The 20,354-nt window shown below is 41.8% G+C and overlaps 3 annotated features.

The window, feature by feature from the left end:
• Positions 7,125-7,655: an enhancer, noted in NCBI's record as "OCT4-NANOG-H3K27ac hESC enhancer chr10:55252302-55252832 (GRCh37/hg19 assembly coordinates)". NCBI's record gives its function as "activates a minimal SCP1, AML or CMV promoter by ChIP-STARR-seq in naive and primed H9 embryonic stem cells {active_cell/tissue: H9 hESC(naive and primed)}" and the evidence as "EXISTENCE:reporter gene assay evidence [ECO:0000049][PMID:30033119]".
• Positions 7,656-8,185: an enhancer, noted in NCBI's record as "OCT4-NANOG-H3K27ac hESC enhancer chr10:55252833-55253362 (GRCh37/hg19 assembly coordinates)". NCBI's record gives its function as "activates a minimal SCP1, AML or CMV promoter by ChIP-STARR-seq in naive and primed H9 embryonic stem cells {active_cell/tissue: H9 hESC(naive and primed)}" and the evidence as "EXISTENCE:reporter gene assay evidence [ECO:0000049][PMID:30033119]".
• Positions 18,710-19,543: an enhancer, noted in NCBI's record as "OCT4-NANOG-H3K27ac hESC enhancer chr10:55263887-55264720 (GRCh37/hg19 assembly coordinates)". NCBI's record gives its function as "activates a minimal SCP1, AML or CMV promoter by ChIP-STARR-seq in primed H9 embryonic stem cells {active_cell/tissue: H9 hESC(primed)}" and the evidence as "EXISTENCE:reporter gene assay evidence [ECO:0000049][PMID:30033119]".

Raw genomic sequence — 20,354 nt, forward strand, 5'->3', positions numbered from 1 at the left:
GTTAACTGCAGCAGGAGCATGTCCTTAAGGCACAGATTGCTCATACTATTGTTTGTGGCTTAAGAATGCCTTTAAGCAGTTTTCCTCCCTGGGCAGGCCAGGTGTTCCTTGCCCTCATTCCAGTAAACCCACAACCTTCCAGCGTGGGCATTAGGGCCATTATGAACATGTTACAGTGCTGCAGCGGTTTTGTTTATGGCCAGTTTCGGGGGGCCTGCTCCCAACATGTCCCCCTTCTTTGATTTGCAAATCAATAAAGGCAAAGGTAGTTTTGTCACGGTGAGCTACTTCTTGCAGGAGTCAGGATCCACATCTGCAAACTATACAAAGACAAATAACAGAGATTAAAAGCACATTCATCATTGAAATCACAGAGCTTCCAAGTGTTTTTATCCATTTTAATGGATTACTAGCTGCTAATCTGTCTGCAGCTCCTTTAAGCACTCCAGTTCCTGTTATTAAGGTCAGGTGTGCCTGGGATGCTTTAAATATTTGTTCTTTTAATTTTGTAATATCCAAAAACAAGTTTGTAGAGTATCCTTTTAGATACTTTTTTATTCTTTCCCAAATTTTGATCTTATTAAGAGCATTTAATAGTTTCCACAATTGTTTCTTCTTCTTTTAAGTATCAGATAATGGCAGTGCCACTTTTAACTACTCCAAATGTAAGATGACAATTTCCATTTCAAAAGTGGGTTTTTCTCTTCTATCGCACTGTCAGGCTACAAATTTTCCGCATTTTTATGCTCTGTTTCTCTGTTAAAACTGAATGCTTTTAACAGCACCCAAACCGCCTCTTGAATGCTTTGCTGATTAGCAGTTTCTTCTGCCAGATACCCTAAATCATCTTCCTCAAGTTCAAAGTTTCACAAATGTCTAGGGCAGGTGCCAAATGCCACCAGTCTCTTTGTTAAAACACAGCAAGTGTCATGGTTACTCCATTTGCCAACAAATTCCTCATCTCCATCTGAGGCCACCTCAGCCAGCGTTTCATTGTCCATATCACTATCAGCATTTTGGTCAAAGCCATTCAACGAGTCTCTAGGAAGTTCCAAACTTCCCACATTTTCCTGTCTTCTTCTGAGCCCTCCAAACTGTTCCAACCTCTTCCTGTTACCCAGTTCCAAAGTTGCTTCCACATATTTAGGTATGTTTACAGCAGTGCCCCAATCCTCTGGTACCAATGAACTGTATTAGTCTGTTCTCATGCTGCTGATAAAGAGATACCTCAGACTGGGTAATTTATGAAGAAAAGGGGTTTAATGGACTCACAGTTCCACATGACTGGGGAGGCCTCACAATCATGGCAGAAGGCAAAGAAGAAGCAAAGTAACATCTTACACGGCAGCAGAGAAGAGAGAATAACAGCAAAACTAAAGGAGAAACTCCTTGTAAAACCATCGGATCTCATGAGACTTATTCACTACCAGGAGAACAGTATGGAGCAAACTGCCACCATGATTCAATTATCTCCTAGATGGTCCCTCCCAAAACATGTGGGAATTATGGGAGCTACAATTCAAGATGAGATCTGGTTGGGGACACAGCCAAGCTGTATCAATAATATCAATAACCTATAAATATAATGTGATTCCCACATAATACAGCTCCATTTTTGTCTGGAATTAATGAAGCAGGATATTTTCTTGACCACTTCATGGGACTTGTGACAGCGTTGCCTCATTTACTCAGCCCGCCCCTGTCTATCCCTTGTGGGAGGAGGCGTGTGAGTGAATGAGTGCACAAACAGGAGCAAGCGAGTGCAGGATCCAGCGGGTTGCTTTTGTGTGCTGGCAGGAACAAACTCCACGCAGGCCCTGCAGCAGCATCCAGGTGGGGATGCTTGCAACTCCTGAAGCCCCAGAGGGCATGTTACAGTGCTCTTTTAGCTCTGCCAACCGTGGACAGCTTAACAGCTCAGTGACCCTTTTGCCATTTCATGTGAGCAGCTGCTCTCTGTCAGTGAGGGCAAAGAGCCAATGTGATAGCCTTTTATATCCACACCCATGGCTCCTGAGCTCTTGTCTGGCATCCAGGAAGAAGGAGGTCACATGAACAAATTGAAGGATGGTAAATGCGGGGGATTTTATTGCTAATGAAAGTGGCTCTCAGTGGGAAGGGGAGCTGTAAATCGGAGGGGGTAGGAAGATTACCTTCCCCTGAAGTCAGGTCATCTCCAGCCAGATTCTTCTCCGAAGTTACGCTGTTAAGCTGTCCTTCTGAAGTCAAGCTGCTTTTCTCCCACGTCCAGCCATAGTCCCATGTACTAGCTGAGTCTGGGGTTTTAATAGGCACAGGATGGCGCAGGGCGGGGCCAGGGGTGGTTGAGGAAAAAGCAGCATTCAAGTGGGAAAACAGGTATATAAGCTCTCACTTTGGCCTGTGGTTTCAGGTTTTTTGGCTTGAGAGTGGCGGTTTGTCAGTGACCCACACTTTTCTGGCTAGAATTTCTCTGCCCCCGTCCCTGTCGATAAGAGAACAAGCAAGTTAATTTGGAATAAAAACACAAGCAAGACCATTCAGGGAAAGACTGAAAAAGGGCAAATTTTCAGTAATAAAAATACACAAAATTAAAACCAACTTTTGCAGCTTGAATAGATGAAAAATTAAAATAAAATATACAAAAACTGGAAAAAACACACTTGGGAATTTAGTTAATGATAAAAACATTTCAGAGCATTGGGAAAATATAAATTTTTAAGCAAATATTATCAGGATAGTGGAATAGCCATACGCAAAGAGGTAATTTTTGTTCTGTTTTAGTTAGTACTATTCCTTAGTCTTGGAATATTTTTTCCTCTTTCCCTCATTTGACCTTTCTTCTTTGTCCATCAACCCACCACTTGGCTGTCCTGCAAGATCCCAATTTTGTCACATTACTTTCCTAAGTACATCACTCCTCTCAGTGGATGATATCTCTACATGACAAAGTATTTTTCAGAAATTGTCTTTTTCAGAAATTTTATATTTTCTTATTCTAAAGTGATATGGTTTACTAATAAATAAGTTTGGGCTAGAATGAAATGCCTCAGTTTATGCATCAGTGTTATGCTCCTTAACTCTGCATTATATGTTGTTAAAAAGACATGATTGTCTTTGAGTTGCATACTTTAAAAATAGTAAAAATGGAAACAAGAATAACACAAGTTGTAAAATTATTAATACAATTGCACAATTTTTAACATTTTAGATATTTTTTCCTACTGCTTAAAGCTGTAGGAAGCAGGAACCACATCACTTTTCAACAGATCTTACCCATCTTTTGGATTAAAAGAAGCTTTCACTCTGTATGCTAGCATTCAATAATGCTAGTTTTCTTCCATTCTGCATCTTTGACTCAATTTGCTCAGTAGGCAGTTATCTGTATGGTTTCTAGACACACAGGAGGCATCATTATGTTCCATTGAGTGAGAACTTAGCTAGGGGCAAGAAAGTACTCTAACCTAGTGTTACCAAATAAAGTTCAAAGGGGATTTTAAATTTCTCCTCCTGAACTCAATACAAAAAGCTTAATAGGTGTGATACAAATGCTTGCGATACATAAGCCCAGAGGGTCTTGTTCAGTGTAGTTATATGAACAGACCTTATAAATTCTAATGCTATGTAGGCACTGAGTATTTTACTTTATTCTAACTTTCTTTGTGTCTTTTTGTTCAAAAATATTTTTAAAATACGCAAACACATGCAGACATTTTAAAGAGACTTGGTTATGCCGCAGAAATGAAGATATACTGACACTCGAATACAATGTGGTTTGAAAAATAACAGTTACATACAAGCTTAGAAAGTACTCTCTTTGAGCTTTGTATCACCATTATTGAAACTAGGGAGAATTTAAAATCACAATTTAAACTAACAATTATAAAATGTAACTTAATTTTAAATACAGTAGTCCCTTGTCTTAGTCTGTTTGTGTTCTATAAAAGGATACCTGAGGCTGGGTAATTTATATATTAAAAAATAGGTTATTTGGTTTATGCTTCTGTTGGCTGTTTAAAAATCCGTGGAACCAGAATCTGCTTCTTGTGAGGACTTTATTTAGGCTGCTCACACTCATAGCAGCAGGCAAAAGGGAGCTGGTATGTGCAGAGATCACATGGCAAGAGAGGAAGCAAGAGACAGAGAGTAGGTGCCAGGCTCTTTTTAACAGCCGGCCAGCTCTAGAGAGAACTAATGGAGTGATAATACACTCACTGTCCCACTCTGGGGAAAGGCATTAATCTCTACATGAGGGATCTGCCCTAATAACTCAAATATCTCCCATAGGTATCAACCTCTAAGATTGGGGATCAAATTTCAACATGAGATTTAGAGAGGTCAAACAAAAAACAAGCTAGAGCATCTTCCCTTATCTGTAGGGATTACACTCTAAGACCCCTACTGGATGCCTGAAACTGCTGATAGTACCAAACTGAAGGACATCATAATATTTCATCCCCAAATATACTTCTTTGATATATTTTGAGATCGCTGTTTAGAGAGCCAGCAAACAGAAGTATCCCTGAAAAGATGACTCGTGTAAGGGAGATTTGCATCTGTAGAGACTTTGCACCGATGCAGCCAGGCTTTCTCTGAGGCCCTTTTTTTGTGTGGATCTAGGAAAGATTAACTGAGAGTCTGACACCTTCAAAAGTCTGAAAGAAACATTTACCATCTCTTTTTTTCTGAAGGCTGCTACTTGTGAGGTTTTATCTGCATCACAAGATGACCTTTGCTAACCAGGGTTTCTCTTCTCTTCTTCCCATAACCTGTTTTGCCAAGATCCAAGACTTCCACTCTTTTTGTAACCTCAAAACGATATTTAAGCCACTGTAGTCCATTGATGGCAATGGAATAATCACTCTGTAGTTATCTCCATTGATGTTAATATATTTTTTTTTTACCTTCATTCCTATTAGTCTGCCCTTGTGAGTTGAGTTTTCAGTGAATCTTCAGAGGACAAAGAGAAAGTTTTCCCTTGCCCCATAAAAAACTCTATATATACTGTGTGTTTTTTCTATCAGATAATCAAAACAGCTACTAAATGATGAATGGGAAGGTAGCATATGTAGTGTGGATATACTGGACAAAGGATAATTCATGTTCAGGCAAGATAGAGAGGAACAGCATGAGATTTTATCACGTTGCCCAGAACAGCGCACAAATTAAAACTTACAAACTGTTTATTTCTGTGATTTTCCATGTAATATTGTTGGATCCTTGTTGACAGTAGGTAACTGAAACCATAGAAAATGAACCTGTGGATAAGGGAGACTACTGTAGCAATGTATGATTCTGATAAATTTATCTTTTAAAATAGAATGTTACATTAAATAACTATGTTGCAATCAATTTGTATATGATGTAATATCAACATTCAAATGATAATTTTCATCTCAACTTAAACTTTGTTTCATTTTAAGAAATTATAGGTCATACTGCAAGGTTTATGCATTATTTCTCTTGTTTTACTATATCATAAGTAAAAGAACTTAAATGTAGAAAATTTGAGATATGCAAAAATGATAAAACCTGCAACATAGAAGTTGCAGACTAATTGTAGTCATATGTTTCAAAATGTGAAAACATATTGTTATCTGCTTTTAAATTGGTAATATGAGTGAAAGTCCTCTGTGTTAATAACTCAAATGCTTAGAATTTAATTAAATATTTTTCTTATTCATATATTTTATCTTTAAAAATTAACAAAAATTGTCCAGACATGGTGGCTCACGCCTATAATCCTAGAACTTTGAGGGGCCGAGGCAGTTAGATCATTTGAGGTCAGGAGTTCGAGACCAGCCTGGCCAACATGGTGAAACCCTGCCTCTACTAAAACTACAAAAAATTAGCCGGGTGTGGTGGCAGGTGCCTGTAATCCCAGCTACTCAGGAGGCTGAGTCAGGAGCATAACTTGAACCCAGGAGGCAGAGACTGCAATGAGCCAAGATCATGCCGTTGCACTCCAGCCTGGGCAACAGGAGCAAGACTCCTTCTCAAAAAAAATAATAAAATAAATAAATAAATTTTGTTGTCAGAATATATTTAATTAAGAAGATAAAATTTAATTTAAATTATTTAAGTTACCTAACCACACAATTCATTTTTTATGGGCAGAAGCCCAATAATCCTCCCTCAGTAACCAAATTCATTCTATAATTGAAAACAATTATTTTCATACCCAAAAAGTGAATATCAGCCCAAGCTGTGACCAGAATGGACTTCATTAACATTCTCTTCAGCTTGACTAAATCTTGGACAGGTTTCTTCCTGGCTATAGGTCTTTGACCTCCCTATTTTTAGAGACTTTATTGTCAAAAACTTGCAATTAACGAATTCTTTCTCTGCACCTTTGAGGTATAAATCTTTGCCTGGCCTCTCCCCAGTTTTACAACAAAGTAATGTCTTTCTCGTGAGTCTGGGAGCCATCCCTTTGAAATATAATTACAGTAAAATGAACAACAAAATAAAATCACTCCTAGCTCTCAGTCTCTGTGTGGGTGGGCAGAAGCCTACTTAATTAGCAAACACAGATTACAAGTACCAATTATCAAACACAGATGGCCTAAAGAAATTGACCAACCTTCCGATAAAGTCTTCCTGTACTCTTCTGTTAGCTCACCCCAGTACTTAATAACTTTCCTGCCTTTTGTTTCACCACAGCTGAGTTCAATCTCTCTTTCCTAGTGCAATAGCCTTGACCTTTACTGCTAGTCTTTTATGAAGTCTTCCTTGCTGTTTAATTTGCCTAGTGTAATTTTCTTTAACATCTGGCAAATTACTTATTAAGCATTATAGTTTAATGACTAACAGCATATGTTCTCAAGGTAGACTGCTTGTTCACAATTTCAGCTACATGATTTCTAGATATGTGAGTGTGTGAGAGACCTTCAAGAAACTGTTTAAGCATCCTCTGCCCATTTCCTTATCTATAAAACGAGAATGTTGTTATAATCTCTCTCATGTGGTAACTTACTTAAGATAGCTTGTGTTAACACGTGTATATTGGTACATATCTAATATAATTTTCCATAATGGCAATGTGGTCTTTACTGATCTTTCTAGACTATGACTGGCAACTTAAGTTTAATGGTGAGTGATACATGTAGGAGAAGTCAGGTGTGAGTGTCTACTGGTGTCCTGTAACCATCCCAATTAAATTCTTTAAATTAAGTTTCATCACTTCTAAAACACTGTTTTCATCATAAAATATACCTGGCATCGGAATTGCTGTGTATGAGGGACTTCATCGCTGGTTTTGATTTATCTGAAAGCCCAGATTCTGACTAAAATGTTCACATAGGTCTTCTTTAGTTCAAGTACCTTTCATGCGCGTCCGTGTGAAGACACCACCAAACAGGCTTTGTGTGAGCAACATGGCTGTTTACTTCACCCGGGTGCAGGCGGGCTGAGTCCGAAAAGAGAGTCAGCAAAGGGAGATAAGGGTGGGGCCGTTTTATAGGATTTGGGTAGGTAAAGGAAAATTACAGTCAAAGGGGGTTTGTTCTCTGGCGGGCAGGAGTGGGGGTCGCAAGGTGCTCAGTGGGGGTGCTTTTTGAGCCAGGATGAGCTAGGAAAAGGACTTTCACAAGGTAATGTCATCACTTAAGGCAAGGACTGGCCATTTACACTTCTTTTGTGGTGGAATGTCATCAGTTAAGGTGGGGCAGGGCATATTCACTTCTTTTGTGATTCTTCAGTTACTTCAGGCCATCTGGTGTATAGCTGCAAGTCATAGGGGATGTGATGGCTTGGCTTGGGCTCAGAGGCCTGACATTCCTGCCCTCTTACATTAATAAGAAAAATAAAACAAAATAGTGTTGAAGTGTTGGGGTGGCGAAAATTTTTGGGGGGTGGTATGGAGAGAGAATGGGCGATGTTTCTCAGGGCTGCTTCAAGCGGGATTAGGGGTGACGTGGGAACCTAGAGTGGGAGAGATTAAGCTGAAGGGAGGTCTTGTGGTAAGGGGTGATATTGTCGGGATGTTAGAAGAAACATTTGTCATATAGAATGCTTGGTGATGACCTGGATACAGTTTTAGATGAATTGAGAAACCAAATGGAATAACAGAAGGAGAAAAACGGGTATAAAAGGTCTAAGAATTGGGATGACTCAGGATATCTGATCAGAGAGTGCCTAAGGAGATTCAGCATAGTCCTGCCAGCAAAGATTATTTAATTACTTCAAGAGTTAAGAGTGGCAGTTTGGGGATAGCACCAGGAGATATCAGCTGTGATGGCATGGAAAAACAGTGTAAACCGGCAGTGTAAACAAGAGCAGGGCATGTACGAGTAGTTGAGAACGGTGAATAGGAGTATGACTAGACAGAAGATACTAGGGATGACAAGTTTTTTGGGGACACAGTCTAAGTTGGTCTGGTGTCTGGAATGAGACTGGGGCCTAATAAAAAGGAGCGTCTATACAGGAGCTTAAATGGGCTGTACCCTGTAGCAGTCCGAGGACAGGCCTGAATTCTGAGAAGGAAAAGTGGTAAAAGTATTGTCCAGTCCTTTTTAAGTTAGTGGCTGAGCTTGGTGAGGTGTGTTTTTATTTTTTATTTCTTTCTTTCTTTATTTTTTTTCAGAAGTGTAAATTTTGTTATTTTAATTATTGATTATTATTATACTTTAAGTTTTAGGGTACATGTGCACAATGTGCAGGTTAGTTACATATGTATACATGTGCCATGCTGGTGCACTGCACCCACTAACTCGTCATCTAGCATTAGGTATATCTCCCAATGCTATCCCTCCCCCCTCCCCCCACCCCACAACAGTCCCCAGAGTGTGATGTTCCTCTTCCTGTGTCCATGTGTTCTCATTGTTCCATTCCCACCTATGAGTGAGAATATGTGGTGTTTGTTTTTTTTTTCTTGTGATAGTTTACTGAGAATGATGATTTCCAATTTCATCCACGTCCCTACAAATGACATGAACTCATCATTTTTTATGGCTGCATAGTATTCCATGGTGTATATGTGCCACATTTTCTTAATCCAGTCTATCATTGTTGGACATTTGAGTTGGTTCCAAGTCTTTGCTATTGTGAATAGTGCCACAGTAAACATACGTGTGCATGTGTCTTTATAGCAGCATGATTTCTAGTCCTTTGGGTATATACCCAGTAATGGGATGGCTGGGTCAAATGGTATTTCTAGTTCTAGATCCCTGAGGAATCGCCACACTGTCATCCACAATGGTTGAAGTAGTTTACATTCCCACCAACAGTGTAAAAGTGTTCCTATTTCTCCACATCCTCTCCAGCACCTGTTGTTTCCTGACTTTTTAATGATTGCCATTCTAACTGGTGTGAGATGGTATCTCATCGTGGTTTTGATTTGTATTTCTCTGATGGCCAGTGATGGTAAGCATTTTTCAATGTGTTTTTTGGCTGCATAAATGTCTTCTTTTGAGAAGTGTCTGTTCATGTCCTTTGCCCACTTTTTGATGGGGTTGTTTGTTTTTTTCTTGTAAATTTGTTTGAGTTCATTGTAGATTGTGGATATTAGCCCTTTGTCAGATGAGTAGGTTGTGAAAATTTTCTCCCATTTTGTAAGTTGCCTGTTCACTCTGATGGTAGTTTCTTTTGCTGTGCAGAAGCTCTTTAGTTTAATTAGATCCCATTTGTCAATTTTGGCTTTTATTGCCATTGCTTTTGGTGTTTTAGACATGAAGTCCTTGCCCATGCCTATGTCCTGAATGGTAATGCCTAGGTTTTCTTCTAGGGTTTTTATGGTTTTAGGTCTAACGTTTAAGTCTTTAATCCATCTTGAATTGATTTTTGTATAAGGTGTAAGGAAGGGATCCAGTTTCAGCTTTCTCCATATGGTTAGCCAGTTTTCCCAGCACCATTTGTTAAATAGGGAATCCTTCCCCCATTGCTTTTCTCAGGTTTGTCAAAGATCAGATAGTTGTAGATATGTGGCGGTATTTCTGAGGGCTCTGTTCCTTTCCATTGATCTATATCTCTGTTTTGGTACCAGTACCATGCTGTTTTGTTTACTGTAGCCTTGTAGTATAGTTTGAAGTCAGGTAGTGTGATGCCTCCAGCTTTGTTCTTTTGGCTTAGGATTGACTTGGCGATGCGGGCTCTTTTTTGGTTCCATATGAACTTTAAAGTAGTTTTTTCCAATTCTGTGAAGAAAGTCATTGGTGGCTTGATGGGGGTGACATTGAATCTGTAAATTACCTTGGGCAGTATGGCCATTTTCACGATATTGATTCTTCCTACCCATGAGCATGGAATGTTGTTCCATTTGTTTGTATCCTCTTTTATTTCATTGAGCAGTGGTTTGTAGTTCTCCTTGAAGAGGTCCTTCACATCCCTTGTAAGTTGGATTCCTAGGTATTTTATTCTCTTTGAAGCAATTGTGAATGGGAGTTCACTCATGATTTGGCTCTCTGTTTGTCTGTTATTGGTGTATAAGAATGCTTGTGATTTTTGTACATTGATTTTGTATCCTGAGACTTTGCTGAAGTTGCTTATCAGCTTAAGGAGATTTTGGGCTGAGACGATGGGGTTTTCTAGATATACAATCATGTCATCTGCAAACAGGGACAATTTGACTTCCTCTTTTCCTAACTGAATACCCTTTATTTCCTTCTCCTGCCTAATTGCCCTGGCCAGAAATTCCAACACTATGTTTAATAGGAGTGGTGAGAGAAAACATCCCTGTCTTGTGCCAGTTTTCAAAGGGAATGCTTCCAGTTTTTGCCCATTCAGTATGATATTGGCTGTGGGTTTGTCATAGATAGCTCTTATTATTTTGAAATACGTCCCATCAATACCTAATTTTTTGAGAGTTTTTAGCATGAAGGGTTGTTGAATTTTGTCAAAGGCCTTTTCTGCATCTATTGAGATAATCATGTGGTTTTTGTCTTTGGTTCTGTTTATATGCTGGATTACATTTATTGATTTGCGTATATCGAACCAGCCTTGCATCCCAGGGATGAAGCCCACTTGATCATGGTGGATAAGCTTTTTGATGTGCTGCTGGATTCGGTTTGCCAGTATTTTATTGAGGATTTTTGCATCAATGTTCATCAAGGATATTGGTCTAAAATTCTCTTGTTTGGTTGTGTCTCTGCCCGGCTTTGGTATCAGGATGATGCTGGCCTCATAAAATGAGTTAGGGAGGATTCCCTCTTTTTCTATTGATTGGAATAGTTTCAGAAGGAATGGTACCAGTTCCTCCTTGTACCTCTGGTAGAATTCGGCTGTGAATCCATCTGGTCCTGGACTCTTTTTGGTTGGTAAGCTATTGATTATTGCCACAATTTCAGCTCCTGTTATTGGTCTATTCAGAGATTCAACTTCTTCCTGGTTTAGTCTTGGGAGAGTGTATGTGTCTAGGAATTTATCCATTTCTTCTAGATTTTCTAGTTTATTTGTGTAGAGGTGTTTGTAGTATTCTCTGATGGTAGTTTGTATTTCTGTGGGATCGGTGGTGATATCCCCTTTATCATTTTTTATTGCATCTATTTGATTCTTCTCTCTTTTCTTCTTTATTGGTCTTGCTAGTGGTCTATCCATTTTTTTGATCCTTTCAAAAAACGCGCTCCTGGATTCATTAATTTTTTGAAGGGTTTTTTGTGTCTCTATCTCCTTCAGTTCTGCTCCGATTTTAGTTATTTCTTGCCTTCTGCTAGCTTTTGAATGTGTTTGCTCTTGCTTTTCTAGTTCTTTTAATTGTGATGTTAGGGTGTCAATTTTGGATCTTTCCTGCTTTCTCTTGTGGCCATTTAGTGCTATAAATTTCCCTCTACACACTGCTTTGAATGCATCCCAGAGATTCTGGTATGTTGTGTCTTTGTTCTCATTGGTTTCAAAGAACATCTTTATTTCTGCCTTCATTTCGTTATGTACCCAGTAGTCATTCAGGAGCAGGTTGTTCAGTTTCCATGTAGTTGAGCAGTTTTGAGTGAGATTCTTAATCCTGAGTTCTAGTTTGATTGCACTGTGGTCTGAGAGATAGTTTGTTATAATTTCTGTTCTTTTACATTTGCTGAGGAGAGCTTTACTTCCAAGTATGTGGTCAATTTTGGAATAGGTGTGGTGTGGTGCTGAAAAAAATGTATATTCTGTTGATTTGGGGTGGAGAGTTCTGCAGATGTCTATTAGGTCCGCTTGGTGCAGAGCTGAGTTCAATTCCTGGGTATCCTTGTTGACTTTCTGTCTCGTTGATCTGTCTAATGTTGACAGTGGGGTGTTAAAGTCTCCCATTATTAATGTGTGGGAGTCTAAGTCTCTTTGTAGGTCACACAGGACTTGCTTTATGAATCTGGGTGCTCCTGTATTGGGTGCATATATGTTTAGGATAGTTAGCTCTTCTTGTTGAATTGATCCCTTTACCATTATGTAATGGCCTTCTTTGTCTCTTTTGATCTTTGTTGGTTTAAAGTCTGTCTTATCAGAGACTAGGATTGCAACCCCTGCCTTTTTTTGTTTTCCATTTGCTTGGTAGATCTTCCTCCATCCTTTTATTTTGAGCCTATGTGTGTCTCTGCACGTGAGATGGGTTTCCTGAATACAGCACACTGATGGGTCTTGACTCTTTATCCAATTTGCTAGGCTGTGTCTTTTAATTGGAGCATTTAGTCCATTTACATTTAAAGTTAATATTGTTATGTGTGAATTTGATCCTGTCATTATGATGTTAGCTGGTGATTTTGCTCGTTAGTTGATGCAGTTTCTTCCTAGTCTCGATGATCTTTACATTTTGGCATGATTTTGCAGCGGCTGGTACCAGTTGTTCCTTTCCATGTTTAGTGCTTCCTTCAGGAGCTCTTGTAAGGCAGGCCTGGTGGTGATAAAATCTCTCAGCATTTGCTTGTCTGAAAAGGATTTTATTTCTCCTTCACTTATGAAGCTTAGTTTGGCTGAATATGAAATTCTGGGTTGAAAATTCTTTTCTTTAATAATGTTGAATATTGGCCTCCACTCTCTTCTGGCTTTTAGGATTTCTGCTGAGAGATCCACTGCTCATCTGATGGGCTTCCCTTTGTGGGTTACCCGACCTTTGTCTCTGGCCGCCCTTAACATTTTTTCCTTCATTTCAACCTTGGTGAATCTGACAATTATGTGTCTTGAAGTTGCTCTTCTTGAGGAGTATCTTTGTGGTGTTCTCTGTATTTCCTGAATCTGAATGTTGGCCTGCCTTGCTATATTGGGGAAGTTCTCCTGGATAATATCCTGCAGAGTGTTTTCCAACTTGGTTCCATTCTCCCCGTCACTTTCAGTTACACCAATCAGACGTAGATTTGGTCTTTTCACATAGTCCCATATTTCTTGGAGGCTTTGCTCATTTCTTTTTATTCTTTTTTCTCTAAACTCCCCTTCTCGCTTCATTTCATTCATTTCATCTTCCATCACCGATACCCTTTCTTTCAGTTGATCGCATCGGCTCCTGAGGCTTCTGCATTCTTCATGTAGTTCTCGAGCCTTGGCTTTCAGCTCCATCAGCTCCTTTAAGCACTCCTCTGTATTGGTTAATCTAGTTATACATTCTTCTGAATTTTTTTTAAAGTTTTCAACTTCTTTGCCTTTGGTTTGAATTTCCTCCCATAGCTCGGAGTAATTTGATCGTCTGAAGCCTTCTTCTCTCAGCTCGTCAAAGTCATTCTCCATCCAGCTTTGTTCCGTTGCTGGTGAGGAACTGTGTTCCTTTGGAGGAGGAGAGGCGCTCTGCTTTTTAGAGTTTTCAGTTTTTCTGCTCTGTTTTTTCCCCATCTTTGTGGTTTTATCTACTTTTGGTCTTTGATAATGGTGATGTACAGATGGGGTTTTGGCGTGGATGTCCTTTCTGTTTGTTAGTTTTCCTTTTAACAGACAGGACCCTCAGCTGCAGGTCTGTTGGAGTACCTGGCCGTGTGAGGTGTCAGTCTGCCCCTGCTGGGGGGTGCCTCCCAGTTAGGCTGCTTGGGGGTCAGGGGTCAGGGACTCACTTGAAGAGGCAGTCTGCCCGTTCTCAGATCTCCAGCTGCGTGCTGGGAGAACCACAGCTCTCTTCAAAGCTGTCAGACAGGGACATTTAAGTCTGCAGAGGTTACTGCTGTCTTTTTGTTTGTCTGTGCCCTGCCCCCAGAGGTGGAGCCTACAGAGGCAAGCAGGCCTCCTTGAGCTGTGGTGGGCTCCACCCAGTTCGAGCTTCCCAGCTGCTTTGTTTACCTAAGCAAGCCTGGGCAATGGCGGGCACCCCTTCCGCAGCCTTGCTGCCGCCTTGCAGTTCTATCTCAGACTGCCGTGCTAGCAATCAGCTAGACTCTGTGGGCACAGGACCCTCCGAGCCAGGTGCCGGATATAATCTCCTGGTGTGCTATTTTCCAAGCCCGTCGGAAAGCGCAGTATTCAGGTGGGAGTGACCAGATCTTCCGGGTGCCGTCTGTCACCCCTTTCCTTGCCTAGGAAAGGGAACTCCCTGACCCCTTGCGCTTCCCGAGTGAGGCAATGCCTCACCCTGCTTCGGCTCACACACGGTGCGCGCACCCACTGACCTGCGCCCACTGTCTGGCACTCCCTAGTGAGATGAACCCGGTACCTCAGATGGAAATGATGAAATCACCCGTTTTCTGTGTCGCTCAGGCTGGGAGCTGTAGACTGGAGCTGTTCTGATTTGGCCATCTTGGCTCTGAGAGAGGTGTGTTTTCAAAAGACCTTTATTCCATTCTACTTTTCTTGAAGACAGAGGACCGTAAGGGATATAAAGTTTTCACTGAATACTAAGAGCCTGAAAAACTGCTTGGCTGATTTGACTAATAAAGGCTTGTCTGTTATCAGACTGTATTGAGGTGGGAAGGCTAAACTGAGGAATTATGTGTGACAGAAGGGAAGAAATGCCTGCGGTGGCCTTCTCAGACCCTGTAGGAAAGGCCTCTACCTATCCAGTGAAAATATCTACCTAGACTAAGAGGTATTTTAGTTATCTGACTCAGGGCATGTTGAGTAAAGCTAATTTGCCAGTCCTGGGTGGGCTTGGTGTGTAGGGAAGGGAGGGGGCCTGAATAATCCCTAGGAGTAGTAGAATAGCAGATGGAACACTGAGAAGTTATTTCCTTGAGGATAGATTTCCACGATGGAAAGGAAATGAGAGTTCTAAGAGGCGGGCTAGTGGCTTATACTATAGCATAACCTGCCTTTGCTGGTGTGTGGCAATTAGGCCTGGTGGAACCACCATCAGTAAATCAAGTGTGATCAGGGTGAGGAACAGGAAAGAAGGAAATTTGGGGAAATGGGGTGAATGTCAGGTGGATCAGAGAGATACAGTCATGGGGGTCAGGTGTGGTATCAGGAATAATGTGGGAGGCCGGATTGAAGTCTGGGCCAGGAACAACGGTAATTGTGGGAGACTCAACAAAGAGTGAGTATAGCTGAAGGAGCCGGGAAGCAGAAAGTATATGCATTAGGTATGAGGAAGAAAATAGATTTTGGAAGTTATGAGAACTGTAAAGAGTGAGTTGAGCATAGTTTGTGATTTTCAGGGCCTCTAAAAGTATTAGGGCAGCAGGAGCGGCTGCATGGAGACATGATGGCCAGCCTAAAACAGTAAGGTCAAGTTGTTTGGACAAAAAGCCTACAGGACGCAAACCTGGTCCTTATGTACGAATTCCGACTGCACAGCCCTGCACTTCTGCTGTGTGTAATGAAAAGGGTTGGGATGAGTCAGGGAGTGCTAGAGTGGGGGCAGTTTCTAAAGCTGTCTTCAAGGAATGGAAAGAGGAGTGGGGAAAAGATTTAGGATCTGTGGGGTCAGCTAGGTTTCCTTTTGTGAGTTTATATAATGGTTTTGTTAGGATGGCAAAACCAGGTATCCAAAGGCGAAAGTATCCAACCATGCCCAGGAAGGAAAGGAGTTGTTGTTTTGTAGAAGGGGTTGGGGTTTGAGAGATCAGTCGGAAATGATTGGCAGGGAGAGCACTTGTGTTTTTATGAGAATTATGCTGAGATAGGTAACAGATGAGGAAGAAATTTGGGCTTGATTGAAGTAATGGGGGCTGTCTGTGAAGCTTTGCGGCAGTACAGCCTAGGTAACTTGCTGAGCTTGATGGGTGTCAGGGTCAGTCCAAGTGAAAGTGAAGAGAGGCTGGGATTAAGGGTGCAAAGGAATAGTAAAGAAAGCATGTTTGAGATCTAGAACAGAATAATGGGTTGTAGAGGCAGGTATTGAGGATAGGAGAGTATATGGGTTTGGCAGCACGGGGTGGATAGGCAAAACAATTTTGTTGATAAGGTGCAGATCCTGAACTAACTTGTAAGGCTTGTCTGGTTTTAGGACAGGTAAAATGGGGGAATTGTAAGGAGAGTTTTTAGGCTTTAAAAGGCCATGCTGTAGCAGGCAAGTGATAACAGGCTTTAATCTTTTTAAAGCATGCTGCGGGATGGGATATTGGCGTTGAGTGGGGTAAGGGTGATTAGGTTTTAATGAGATGGTAAGGGGTGCATGATGGGTCACCAAGGAGGGAGTAGAGGTATCTTATACTTGTGGGTTAAGGTGGGGGGATACAAGAGGAGGACGCAAAGGAGGCTTTGGATTGGGAAGAAGGGCGGCAATGAGATATAGCTGTAGTCCAGGAATAGTCAGGGAAGCAGATAATTTAGTTAAAGTGTCTCAGCCTGATAAAGGAACTGGGCAGGTGGGGATAACTAAAAAGGAGTGCTTAAAAGAGTATGGTCTAAGTTGGCACCAGAGTTGGGGAGTTTTCAGAGGTTTAGAAGCCTGGCTGTCAATACCCACAACAGTTATGGAGGCAAGGGAAACAGGCCCTTGAAAAGAAGGTAATGTGGAGTGGGTAGCCTCCATATTGATTAAGAAGGGGACGGGCTTACCTTCCACTGTGAGAGTTACCCGAAGCTCGGTGTCCGTGATTGTCTAGGGGGCTTCCGAGGTGATCGGGCAGTGTCAGTCTTCAGCTGCTAACCCGAGAAGATCTGGGAAGGAGTCAGTCAGAGAGCCTCGGGCCAGAGTTCCAGGGGCTCTGGGAGTGGCTGCCAGGTGAGTTGAACAGTCCGATTTTCAGTGGGGTCCCACACAGATGGGACACGGCTTAGGAGGAATCCCGGGCTGCGGGCATTCTTTGACCCAGTGGCCAGATTTCCAGCATGTGTAGCAAGCTTCTGTGGGAGGAGGTTCTGGAGGAGCCTGGCTGCTGCGGTTCAGGCGTTTGGAAGTTCTTGTGTGCTGGAGATGTGCCTGGGGTTTGTCTCACAGTGGAGGCAAGGAATTGCAACTTTTTTCTATTATTGTACACCTTGAAGGCGAGGTTAATTAAATCCTGTTGTGGGGTTTGAGGGCCGGAATTTAATTTTTGGAGTTTTATTTAATGTCTGGAGCAGATTGGGTAATAAAATGTATTTTGAGAATAAGACGGCCTTTTGACCTTTTAGGGTCTAGGGCTGTAAAGCGTCTCAGGGTTGCTGCCAAACACGTCATGAACTGGGCTGGATTTTTATATTTGATGAAAAAGAGCCTAAATGCTATCTGATTTGGGATAAAGAAAAAGGAGCATTATCGTTGACTATGCCTTTGGCTCCAGCCACCTTTTTAAGAGTAAATTGCTGGGCAGGTGGGGGAGGGCTAGTCATGGAACGAAACTGTAAGCCGGACCAGGTGTGAGGAGGGGAGGTGATGAAAAGATTATAGGGTGGAGGAGCAGAGGCTGAGGAAGAATTGGGACCTAGCTCGGCCTGGCGAGGAGCAGCCTGGGGAGGAAGGGAGAGGTCAGATGGATCTGTAGAAAAGGAAGATTAGAAAGACTCAGCGACGCTTGGGGTTGGGACTGAGGGGACAGGTGGGAGGGAAAGAAGGAAGATTTGGGACGAGTTGCATTGGGCACAGAGACTAGGAAGGGACTGATGTGTAAAAGAATGCCTGGACGTCAGGCACCTCAGACCGTTTGCTTATTTTACGACAAGAATTATTTAGATCTTGCAGGATGGAAAAATTCAAAGTGCCATTTTCTGGCTATTTGGAACTACTGTCGAGTTTGTATTGGGGTCAAGCAGCATTGCAGAAGAAAATAAGGCATTTAGGTTTTAGGTCAGGTGTGAGTTGAAGAGGTTTTAAGTTTTTGAGAGCACAGGCTAAGGGAGAAGAAGGAGGAATGGAAAGTGGAAGCTTACCCATAGTGAAGGAGGGAAGCCCAGAGAAAAGAGTAGAGACATGGAAAAGGGGTGGGGGGTTCTTGCCCTCCCGAAAAGCAGAGAAGGGGTTGGGGCATGGACATAAGGGATTGGGGCACAGAGATAAGAGGTCAGGGTGCAGAAATAAGCGATTGGGGCACAGAGATAAGAGGTCAGGGTGCGGAAATAAGCGATTGGGGGGTTCTTGCCCCCTAGGAAAGCGGGACTTGCCGCTAAGCGTGAAGGAGAAGGGGTTGAGGGGTACTTGCCCCTCTCCCAGAAAAGCAGAGAAGGGGTAGAGACAAGGAGAGAAGGGGTTGGGGTACTTGCCCTTTCCCCAGAAAAGGAGGACTTGCCGCTAAGGGTGAAGGACCAAGGCAGGTGTCCCTGTGTGGTCTGACACCCTTGAAACGTGGGTGTATAATCAGAGAGGTGTCCCTGCAATGATTAAACACCAAGGGAAGGCTGCCTTCCCAGTCCATGACCGGCGCTGGAGTTTTGGGTCCACGGATAAAACGTGTCTCCTTTGTCTCTCCCGGAAAATGAAAGGAATTGAAATTAAGAGAAGTGAGAGATTGAAGAGTGGAAAGGAGAAAGTGGTTGAGGGACAGTGAGAGAGTTTGGAGAAGAGAGTAAGAAGAGGCCGCTTACCTGATTTAAAATTGGTGAGATGTTCCTTGGGGTGGTCAGTCTGAGGACCTGAGGTTGTAGGTGGATCTTTCTAACGGAGCAAAGAACAGGAGGACAGGGGATTTCGGCACCAAATTTCATGCGCGTCCGTGTGAAGAGACCACCAAACAGGCTTTGTGTGAGCAACATGGCTGTTTATTTCACCTGGGTGCAGGCGGACTGAGTCCGAAAAGAGAGTCAGTGAAGGGAGATAGGGGTGGGGCCGTTTTATAGGATTTGGGTAGGTAAAGGAAAATTACAGTCAAAGGGGGTTTGTTCTCTGGCGGGCAGGAGTGGGGGTCGCAAGGTGCTCAGTGGGGGTGCTTTTTGAGCCAGGATGAGCTAGGAAAAGGACTTTCACAAGGTAATGTCATCACTTAAGGCAAGGACTGGCCATTTACACTTCTTTTGTGGTGGAATGTCATCAGTTAAGGTGGGGCAGGGCATATTCACTTCTTTTGTGATTCTTCAGTTACTTCAGGCCATCTGGCGTATACCTGCAAGTCACAGGGGATGCGATGGCTTGGCTTGGGCTCAGAGGCCTGACAGTACCTATATGCAACAAGGCCTATATGGGAATTCTTACTTCCAGAGTATGATAACAGCAGTATTTGCAAAGACCAGTTATGTTAGGAGATAGAATTTATTAAAGGCTTATGCTGAGCTGGGCACTATGATGTTTATTCTCCATGTGTTAACATGTTTAATCCTCACAACGACACTATAACTTAGCACATTTTACAGATTGAGAACCAAGTCACAAATAAGTAACTTACGGATCTCACACATTTTATATGTATCATAGTCAAGATTTTATTTGAAGAAGAAAGATAACAGATGACTCTACTAATATACTGAAAAATAAGCCAAACACAGTTTATCATACAATTAAGAAAATATATTAGAACAGTAAATACTAAGAGAAACTAGAGACAGTATTTAGCAAGTGTAGGGTAAAAGCAGATTTTGAGTTAGTCTAGTCAAACTTATGGTTCCTACTTCTGTAGTTTCTTTGCAATGGATCCGTTATGGTTCTAAAACAAACTCTTGAAACTCCCACATTTATGTCTCCAGCCAGGATTTCTTTCCTAAACTTCAGAGGCGTGTATCCAAATGCTACCCCAGTGTCTCCATGTGTAGCAATATCAGATTTAATATCTCAATCAGAACAGGCAATTTCCCCTTCCACTGTCTTGCTTATCTCAGTAAAATACAACTCAGTCTTTCTAATTGCTCAAACTTGAAGTAATATTTGAGCCTCCTCTCTGTTCTACATTCCTTATTTCGTCAGTTGTATTCCTGTCTTCTGGAGTCCCTAAAATAGCCAAAAAAGTTTTTCAGATCTGGACCCTGTTACCTCTCACTCTTTGACCATGATTTTTTACCCTCTCTGATTCCGCACAAATACAGTGGCTCTTTGTTGTTTATTCAATACTCAAGTAAACATCCATTCTAGGATGTCTACACTTCTTTCTCTCTGTGCTTGGAGAACATTTCTCTTGTAAAAGTTCCACTCGCTTTCTTCCATCACATTTTGCACAATGTTACATTTTCATGGAAACTTACTGTGAATAAGGTGCTGACAATTGTAC

Source organism: Homo sapiens, chromosome 10 (assembly GCF_000001405.40).
Source record: "Homo sapiens chromosome 10, GRCh38.p14 Primary Assembly".
Taxonomy (NCBI): Eukaryota; Metazoa; Chordata; class Mammalia; order Primates; family Hominidae; genus Homo; species Homo sapiens.